General features: G+C 39.7%; 1 long non-coding RNA gene across 2 annotated transcripts in view; it reads left to right on the top strand.

The window, feature by feature from the left end:
• Nucleotides 1-2,248: 2,248 nt before the first annotated feature.
• LOC105377164 (uncharacterized) overlaps nucleotides 2,249-10,640 on the top strand; it is a 28,764-nt gene continuing 20,372 nt past the window's right edge. For both annotated transcript variants that reach the window (XR_001740755.1, XR_940966.1), the window contains exon 1: nucleotides 2,249-2,486. This is a non-coding gene — a long non-coding RNA (uncharacterized LOC105377164). The remainder of the gene's footprint in view (nucleotides 2,487-10,640) is intronic.

Raw genomic sequence — 10,640 nt, 5'->3', positions numbered from 1 at the left:
ATACACTAAATATTGAAAATCTTCAGCATTTCCATCCACTTTCCTGTTGACCTGCCAACAAACACTTGCACAGCTGTAACTAGTTTGTCTCCGTTTTCATTCATCACTTGCCTCTGTGGGAATAATCTGCTCCTTCCATTTAACCCAGGATTCACTTTTCCTTTGGGGAGATGAACATCCCTCAGTTACCTACAACTTTACTTATTGAATACTGTACTCTCATCTTCCCCTTCTTCCTTGATCCACACATACACACACACAAACATGAGCTCTGATCTAGACATGCAAGGATGTCTTGAATAGGAAGATGAGAAGAAATTCAAGAACAGTCTCTGACAGTGGAACTGAAGCCTTGGACAAACAGATTTCTTTTTCTTTTTTTTTTTTTTTCTTTTTTTTTTTGAGACAGAGTCTCGCTTTGTTGCCCAGGATGGAGTGCAGTGGCATGATCTCAGCTCACTGCAACCTCTGCCTCCCGGGTTCAAGCAATTCTTGTGCTTCAGCCTCCTGAGTAGCTGGGATTACAGGCGCCCGCCCGCCATCATGCCTGGATAATTTTTGTATTTTTAGTAGAGACAGGCTTTCACCATATTGCCCAGACTGGTCTCAAACTCCTGACCACAGGTGATCCACCTGTCTTGGCCTCCCAAAGTGCTGAGATTACAGGTGTGAGACACTGCACCTGGCTGGACAAATAGATTTCTCACACAAAACAAAATAATTAAAGTGTGTGCATGAGTGAAGTGTATTTTTATCAGAGGACTATGCATTCTATGGTGGCTTCTCTCCACCCCCATAGAAATAGAAAAGTTAATCTCTCCTGCAGTGGAGCACTGACCTCATCCTCCATTTCAAACATGGAGTGATAAGAAAGAAAAGAGATCAAAGATAAGGAGGCAGGAGGCCTACTGGGCAAGTTACATGATAGGGTCATTTTCTACAGCTTGGGGGTACAGAACACAGATCACTAACTCTCTTGCTTCAGTCAGATGGGTGTGAGAAAAATCACATGAACACCTGGTTTATCTTTCATTTTCCCCACTTTGATAGAGACACGTGTTTTAGGATGATTTCTACACTGTAAGAACAACAATATTGTAAACACAGTAAGAAATGAAAATCTAAAAGAGCCTCGGTGTCAGGGAGAGAAAAAGCAAGAATGCCAGGGACCATGAGGAACAAAAGGGCACCTGTCATCTCTAAAAGGGGCCCCTTCGTTCTAGCAACTGTTTCCATGCCAGATCTTCAAATTGCTCAAGAAAAGCAGGAACTCATATTTTTGTGTGAAACCTCCTAACTTTCAAATGTTGACTCATAACCTTAAAACTCTATGTGAGCCAAATAAAACACATTGGTTGGCCTAATAGGGCCAACCTGCAACTGGGCCTTGGTGGAGAAGAACTAGGGAAGAGCAGCAGGGGAGGAAACTGAGATAAAGTCAAGGATTCATTCATTTAATAAATGTCCATTCAGGTGGCCTTCATATGCACCCAGGACTGTGCTAAGCATTAGATGTGAATGAAAAACCAAGACAAGAAGTAGGAGGTGATAAGAAATTGTTAAATCCAGCAAAGAAACTTTGAAGTAAGATCAGTAAGAAGGAAATTATTAAGTTTGTTGAGAGGAAGTCTGTAAAAACTCAGGCAGAAAGATGAAAAGGTACATTATTAAGAATTAACGGCGAGATGTGGGGACTCATGCCTGTAATCCCAGCACTTTGGGAGGCCAAGGTGGGTGGATCACTTGAGCTCAGGAGTTTGAGACCAGACTGGGCAACCTGGCAAAACCCATCTCTATATAAAATACAAAAATTAGCCAGGAGTGGTGGCACACGCTTGTAGTCCCAGCTACCCATGAGGCTGAGGTGGAAGGACCACTTGAGCCTGGGAGGCAGAGGGTTCAGTGAGCTGTGATTGTGCTACTGCACTCCAGCCTGAATGACAGAGGGAGATTCTGTCTCAAAAAATAAAAATAAAAAAAAGAAAAGAAAGAGAAAGAAAAAAGAAGGGAATGAATGGCAAGGTGTGTCCAGCAGCTTCCCAGTGGGTGGTGTTTAACCAGGCTCTCAGAACTCTCACCTGGTATGCACACCCTCGCAGAGTTTCCTCCCATGCTGAACTGGGTTGGCCTATGTAACCAAGAGGATGTTGCAGGACAATGGAGCACAACTTCCAGGGCTAGGTCATAAAAGGCACTCTGCCTTCCATCTTGCTGTCTCAGATCACTCACATGGGGGAAGCCAGCTGCTACGTCATAAGGACACTCAAGAAGCCCTATAGAAGAGCTCACATGGTAAAGAAATGAGGCCTTCTGCCAACAGCCAGTGAGGAACTAAGCCCTGCTGGCAGCTGCCAGATGAGCAAGCCATCTTGGAAGAAGACCCCCAGACTGTTAAGCCTTCAGATAACTGCAGCCCCAGCTGACACAAGAAACCAGAGTCAGAATCACTCAGCAAGGCATTCCTGAATTTCTGACCCACAGAAATTGTAAGATAAGAAATGTTTGAGTTTTTTTAATCCACTAAGTCTATGGGTAATTTATTATGAGCAGTGGATAGCTTATACTCTAAGAAAAATAGAGGCATTAGATATAAACCACCAGTCCAAAAATTTTAACAAACAGAAAAAAAAAAAATAGACAGCAAGTGGTGGAGTGGAGTTGGAGGGAGGAGAGGCTGAAAGAGAATAGTGTCTGGTAAAGAGCATGGGTTTTAAGATAAATCAGACATGAATTTGAAACCAGCACTGACACCTATTAACTATGTGACCTTGGGCAAACACTTAGAGTCTCTAAGCATCAATGTCTCCTTTTATCTGTGTTCTCAAAATAATAGTAACTACTTCACATAGTTACTATAGATCAAAAGACAAAATGAACAGGAAATACCTACTTCACACATAGCAGACACTAGACAGGTATGTTATTAGTGACCGCTTCATTGAAGGTAAACATGACACACTCTGCTGACCTGCACTGCCTGACTTTGCAGGGAACAGAGTACCATTTCAATGCTTATCGGGTTTTTCTTTTCTTGTTTATTTTTTATTCTAAAATATATCAGAAACACGATTTACTATATTTAACTGGATTGTCTTAAACTTAAGTTCTGTGTATCCAAAACATTCCAAGGACAGCAGAAGCAAATAAATCTGAGAAAAAATGTATTCGAATAGAAATAAAAATTGTTTTTAAAAAATTCTCCTTTTCTTGTCCTTTAGAGCAAGGTAGACACCATGCTTAGTACACACACAAAACCTCCAACATCATCTACTGACAGATGGTTCATGTCAGTTCCATGTTTATTACTTTGAAGAGAATAAATTTCTTCAACAAGAGCTACTATGCACTTAAGGCATATTCTCAAAGTCTCCAAGGCTTAGTGTTCATATTTATAGTAGCAATTCATTTAAAAACAAAAATAAATAAATAAAAGCATTTAAAGCAAAGTAAATTAACCTCAGTAGTATAATACTTTTTTCTTTTTTACCTTTTTTTTAAAAAAAATTAATGATGGATTTCTTTTTTTCTTTTTTTTTTTCCTTTTTTTTGAGACAGTCTCACTCTGTCACCAGGCTGGAATGCAGTGGCACAATCTCGGCTCACTGCAACCTGCAGCTCTCTGGTTCAAGCGAATCTCCTGCCTCAGCCTCCCGAGAAGCTGGGATCACAGGCACGCACAAACATGCCCAGCTAATTTTTGTATTGTTAGTAGACATGGGGTTTCACCATGTTGGCCAGGATGGTCTCGATCTCCTGACCTCGTGATCTGCCTGTCTCAACCTCCCAAACTGCTGGGATTACAGGTGTGAGCCACCGTGCCCTGCCCCAGTGATGAATCTAATCTACCCAAAGTGTGAGCCATAATCCTTGCTTGGTCATTAACAAGTCAGCACCAGCAAGGATTAGTTTGTTCTTACGAAAGACTGACAAGGTTTATTCCCTGGTTGTCAGACATCAGTGTTTTCTAGGTGTGGATGTGGGTAGGATTTGAAATGTGTCTCCTATTTGCTTTTTCCTTTCCGGGTAATTATCTCATTCTTATAATAAAATATATCTGCTCCCTTCAGAGTGGTTCAACAGTCAGATCAACCTCACCCAGCTAGTTAATAGAAAAGCCTGACCTAAACCCTGGTATCTTGTCCCCAGATTGATTGGGGATGTTTTCTTTTTCTTTTTTATTTTTACTATAGTCAACTATCTTAACAGCTTTCTTAATTGGGTCACCAAGTCAGTCTTCTTTTCCCTTCTAGTAATCCTGGTCTTTCTTAACATTCCCTTACTCAAGAACTTGTACTGGCTCCCTTTTCTCACCCTCATCAATCCCAGACAAAATTATCCACCTTTCTGCTCTGCTCTTATACAATTAGCTGTTTTTCTAAATGTTCCTAAAAACTGACTTTCTCATTGAGCAAGATTGCTATCCTTAAGCAATTAAATCTCCTAAAAGAGACCATGCCAATGTACCCTGGTCTGTGAACTTCCTACCTGCTAAATGCCCTCCCCGCCTCCCCTCCTTTTGAAACCTTTATAATCCCTCTGATGAAATTCCATCTCTTCCACAAAATCTTCCACTCTTTCAGGCTGCTTGGCTTTCAACCATGCTTGAACTCCCATCACACGTGTAATTAACACTTTTTACTTCACAGTCTGTTGTGTTTTATTGTCTGTTGTGCCAGGTATCTTCTGTTTTCCCCTCTAAACCCATTCTTCATCCTTCTCACCCTGTTCTGTGCCCCTGGAGCCTGACTTGTTCAGTCTACTGCAGTGGTTCTCAAAGTGTTACCCCAAACTGCAGCATCAGAATCACCTGAGAACTTGTTAGAAATGCAAATTATCATTGGGTCCCCACACAGAGCTGCGGAATCAGACTCTGGGGATAGGCTCCAGCAGTCTATCATGCAGCAGGCCCTCCAGGTGTTTCTGATGCATGCCCAAGTTTGAGAACAACTAGTCAGTATCCACAGACTCTCCTGTCTTCTGGCTTTAGGGTTGGGTCTGACCTATGTTTAACCCTGGCAGGAGATAGAATGGAAACAAGATTGCAACACTGGGACTATTCCTTGTGGTTCCCCTACCCCTAGAAAACAACTTTTTTGTTTGTTTGTTTGTTTGTTTGTTTTTGCCTTGTTTTGTTTTTGGAAAACACCCTTGAAAAAAGTCACTTTATTAAGTCCTTTGAGTGTGTCATCTATTTCCTGTTAGTACTGTGACTGATATACAAGCCATATTTATTATTAACATAAGTGATATTACTCAATTATATTCTTATTTCCCCTCTCTGCTTCACTCCAATCTACAAAAAATGTTGAGAAATGCAGGCAAGGATTTTTGTTGATTCCTCAAAAATCTAGACCTCTTAGGTGGGGTGGTAGACTAAAATACTGCCCCCCGCCCAAAGATGTTTCGTGTCCTAATCCTCAAAATCTATAACTATGTCACCTTACATGGCAAAAAATGGACCTTGCTGATATCATTAAGTTATGGTTAGGGATATTGGGAGATTATTTACATTACGAGGGGAGGCAGCTAATCTAATTACAAGGGTCCTTATAAAAGAGAGGCTGGAGGGTCATAGTCAGTGAAGGAGATGTGACAAAGAAAGAGAGGAGAGGGAGAGAGATTTGGGATACTGCCTGCTGCCTTTCAAGATAATGAATGTAGGAAAAGGCAAGGAAATAAAAGATTGTCCCCTAGAACCTTCTGAAGAAACACAGTGCTGCCAACACCTTGATTGTAGCCTGGTAAGACTCATTACAGACCTCTAGCCTCCAGAACTATAAAAGAACACATTTGTGGTTTTGAGCCCCTAAGTTTGAGGTAATTTGTTATAGGAGCAATAGAGAACTAATAAGGGTAGTTTATGAAAAATGAGCCTCTTGATCAAATAAATTTTGGAAACCCCACACACCCTCCTGTTAGAGCTTTTAAGTGAAAACTACAATGAGAAATATTGCACTGAAGAACCTTTTCTAACTTCTTGAAATCCACTGTTTCCAAATTTTTTTTCCTGGGAAGACCTATTAATACTCCACAGGCTAATAATGATAGTAATAATGGCAGTTAACATTTATAAAGTTCTTACTACCTTGCAGACACTGTGTTACATGCTTAAATACTATATAATTCTACCAACCTTTAAGAGGTGATTATTATTCTCATTTTATAAAGTGGTAAACTGAGGTTTGGAAAGGTTAAGTAATTTGATTCATAGCCACACCATTAGTAAGTAGGAGAGGTCAGAATTGAGACTTTGCTTAACTCCAACATTCATATTCTCAACATGCAACCCTGTTCTTTATTCTTGAGAAACATACTTTGAGAAACATTAAGTATAGCCAGGCTCCTCTATGGCTAAAATGAAAACATTAACATATAATGTCCAATGCCTTTACAAATTCCAAATGCATCTCTTGTCATAGTTCAAAATGTTCCATGTTAATTTCATTACTAACCTCAGGGTCAAGCACCAAATGGAAACCAATTGCTGTCTGGTTTGAAAGCAATTGCCATTCTGTGTGTGTGTGTGTGTGTGTGTGTGTGTGTGTGTGTATGTAAGATTAGAGGAGCTCACCTTTCCATGCAGGCACAGCTTTCAGATTATAAAGTAGCTGAGGTACAGGGATGTGGCCTAGCCAAAGGATTAGCACAGTTGAAAAAGTCAGCCCTCCATGTCTGTGGGTTCCATATCCATGGATTCAACCATCTACAAATCAAAAATATTCAGAAAAAAAGGACGGTGTGTGTGTACTGAACAGGTATAGACTTTTTTCCTGTTATTAGTCCCTAAACAATACAGTATAATAACTATTTACATAGCATTTACATTGTATTAGGTATTATAAGCCAGTGGCCCCCAACCATTTTGGCACCAGGGACTGGTTTTGTGGGAGACAATTTTTCTACGGGACAGCAGGGAGAGGGGTAGATGGTTTGGGGATGAAATTGTTTAACCTCAGATCGTCAGGCATTAGTTAGATTCTCTTAAGAAGCTTACAACGTAGATGCCTCACGTGTGCAGTTCACAATAGAGTTCCCACTCCTATGAGAATCTAATGCCACTGATCTGACAAGAGGCAGAGCTCAAGTGGTAATGCTCTCACTTGTCCACTACTCACCTCTTTACAGGCCACGGACCAGTATAGGTCTGCAGCCCAGGGATTCAAGACCCCTGTTATAAGCAATCTAGGGACAATTTAAAGTATATTGGAGGATGTGAGTAGGTTATATGTAAATACTATGCCATTTTATATCAGGGACTTGACCATCCATGGATTTTGGTATCAATGGGGGGCAGTCTTGGAACCAGTACCCACCGATAACAAGGGATAACTGTATAACTCAGAAACACCATTCAGAAACCTCAGGCCTATCAACATTTCTCTTTTAGAGAGCTGTGATTTGCCCATCAAAATGAATTATTGGCTAAAATTAGAGAAAAATCTCAGACTATTAAGTACGAAATGTTTTTGCAAGCAATCCAGTTGAGAATAATGTTTGAAAATTTACAGAAAAGAAAAGCTCATGCAGCAGTTAGATGAATTTTCATTTCTTAAATAAATATTTATCACTCAAAAATAGTTGCCATAGGGCATTTCTTGTGTTTCAAATGCATATCTTGGTAAGCAAATTTTAAACTAGTTGGTATACTTTAGTTATCTTTCACACATGTTTATACGGAAACAAAGTAATTTCAAAAGGTGATCGTGGCCAGCACAGTGCTTTGCGCCTGTAATCCCCAGCACTTTGGGAGGCCAAAGCAGGAGGATGTCTTGAGCCCAGAAGTTTGAGACCAGCCCGAGCAAGATGGTGAGATCCCATCTCAACAGAAATTTAAAAATTAGCCAGGCATGGTGGTACACACCTGTAGTCCCAGCTACTCAAGAGACTGAGGCAGGAGGATTCGTTGAGCCCAAGAGTTTGAGGCTGCAGTGAGCTGTGATTGCACCACTGCACTCCAGCCTAGGCAACAGATTGCGACCCTGCCTGTCTCTTTAAAAATAAAATTAAAAAGTAATCATATGTACTGATGGAGGTTTTTTTAAGCACTTCTTTCTAATTTATAATTCTTTATCCCCAAAATGAATAACACTACATGCAATATTTACTTCTGGAACAGAAAAAAGTCATTAGTGAGACAACTGATTACAGTCTGGAGTTTAATGGATAGAAAGGCACTAATGTTAATTTCCTAGTTTTCACAAATGTGCCTCAGTAGTGTAAGCTGTTCACATTAGGGGAAACTGGGTAAAGAGTATACAGGAGCTCTCTGTACTATCTTTGCAACTTTTCAGTAAATCTAGAATTATTACAAAATAAAACACTTAAAAAGTTGAATAAAATCAACCATGTTACAACACATGGGTTTAACGATATTGTTAATTATGTATTCTACTCAGAGCTCAGATGACTTTTGAGACCTCATCTTCTGCTCCCACCTCAGTTGCCTATGTTTAGATACCAAGTATCTAGTAGGAGTCTAATCAGGAAAACAAAACCAATTAGCAAAGCAGTAAAATGCCCTGTGGTTGAAACTTCTTAGGGGTAATAGCTGTTTTGTTTAACCAAATTCTTTTAACTTGAGGCTTCCTGTGGGTATCACCTTCTTACACAAGGTGCCATACAAAGTAAAACACAAGCAAACAAAACTCTACGTCAAAAGGTCACCTCACAGCCAGCCTGTGTGTGATCACTTGCACATTTACCTGTTTGTCGCCATCTCCCCATCTAGATTTCAAATCCTTCTAGGGCAGGAACCATATCTGCTTTATCCCCTGATCAGCCCCCCAGGTACCTTGCCTGACATAGTGGATGCTCAAACACTATTTGAACATGGATGTGTGAATGAATGACTTAGCTGCCATTTATATGAAAGGAGTCTTGCAGGATGTAAAGTAAGAATTGGCACCTCTGCATATACAGGCAAAACAGAGCTCTTGTACCCACATGTATGTTTTTCAGTCAGTCAAAGAATAAAGTCCCCAGTGTCCTGAGTCATGAACGTGGATTCAGAGCTGAATGAGCCCATGAGGCACAAATAATATGAAGAGTAATTTGCTCCTTAGGAAAACAAATAGGTAAACAGAGTTCAAACCAATTCCAACATGATGACAGTGAAGAACATGACTGCCACGTTAAAGCATGACCCTGTATTTTCTAATGTGGGAAGGCTCCAATTCATTCATTTAAAAAACAAATTTTTTTAGCTCCAGGGATTTGGTAGTCAAAGAATAAGTCAGACAGGAGCTCTGCCTTCACTTGGCTTACGGACTAGTGGAGGAGATTGAGAATAAATATGAGAAATAGGAAATAATATGATTGCAGGTCGAATGCCTCTCCACAGTGCCAAGTCCAAGGATAGTAGCAGGAGAGACAGCATTCATGATTTGAAGTTGCAAGTCCTGGGCAGGCTTTCTGAGCTAAAGAAATTCAGGCATCAGCAAGGATATTATGAGAATCGAGTGAAATTGCATGGAAATTCTTTATAAATCTAAAACACTAGAAAGTATTAGTGTGTAATGCATACATTCATTTGGGTCACTATTTCCACATTTATTCATTTTTCATACTTGCACTGAGCACCTACTACATATGTGCCAGATGCTGTTGTGGAGATATAAGAATAAAGGAAATGCAAACACTACTGTCAACACAAATTATAAGTGTTTGAGTTAAATTCTGGAGTCTACTGCCTTAATCAGTAGCTGGGGTCACAGTGACCCTGGTTCTCAGACACACCCAAGAGATAAGCCTCAACCTTTGAAATTAGCAAAGTCAAACAAGCCTGTCACTTCATTTTCTTTTTCTCCTCAGCATTAGGAATTACTGTCAGTGGTAACATACAATTTCCCAGAAGTTGACAGTTCAACTATTTTGGCATCTTATTTGAAAATTACCATTATTACTTTTAGCATGTGAGCAATTTCTTACAGCCTAGTGGTTTGCAGAGTTTTTCCTTAACCTTTCCACTAATGATGGGATGACATACTTTATTTATTTTTCTAAGTCCCTTCTAGATTCTACCAATAGTAAGACACTTTATTTTTTGAATTGCTATTTAAAAAATGAAATCAGTTTAATCTTCCTGCATCTCTACTTTATTTGGATGCTATAAGGTTAGTCATGAAGGTCAAAGAAAGAAATTGGAAATCATTAATATTCATTTCTCTCAGACATTAAAACGTCAGCATTGTGAAGAATTTGGCAGGTAGGTAGGTTATGCCAAGTATGAATCTTCTGTTTAACTCTTGGCTTATTATCATCCTTGCGATATGGAGACAGAAAGTGAGGAGCATTAATTTACACAGACTTACAAAGGGCTAGTGCACAAGTAAAGTTGTTAATAAATAATGATAAGGACAATCATCATCATCATCATTATCATCATCATCATCATCATCATAGCAAAGCCTTATACTAAGAGCCAGGCAACACTCTAAACACTTGATACAAATTAACTCTTTTTTCACTATGGTAAAATAAAGACAACTTGAAATTTACTGTCTTGCCCATGTTTAAGAGTACAATTCACTGGCATTAAGTACATCTACGTAGTTGTGTGACCATTGTTACCATCCATCTCCAGAAGTTTGTCACCTTGCAAAACTAAAGCTATGTACCCATTAAAAAATAACCCCTCATTC

Source organism: Homo sapiens, chromosome 3 (genome assembly GCF_000001405.40).
Source record: "Homo sapiens chromosome 3, GRCh38.p14 Primary Assembly".
In the NCBI taxonomy this organism is placed as follows: Eukaryota; Metazoa; Chordata; class Mammalia; order Primates; family Hominidae; genus Homo; species Homo sapiens.
The sequence above is the reverse complement of the archived record's forward strand: the minus strand, read 5'-3'. Positions and strand labels throughout refer to the sequence as shown.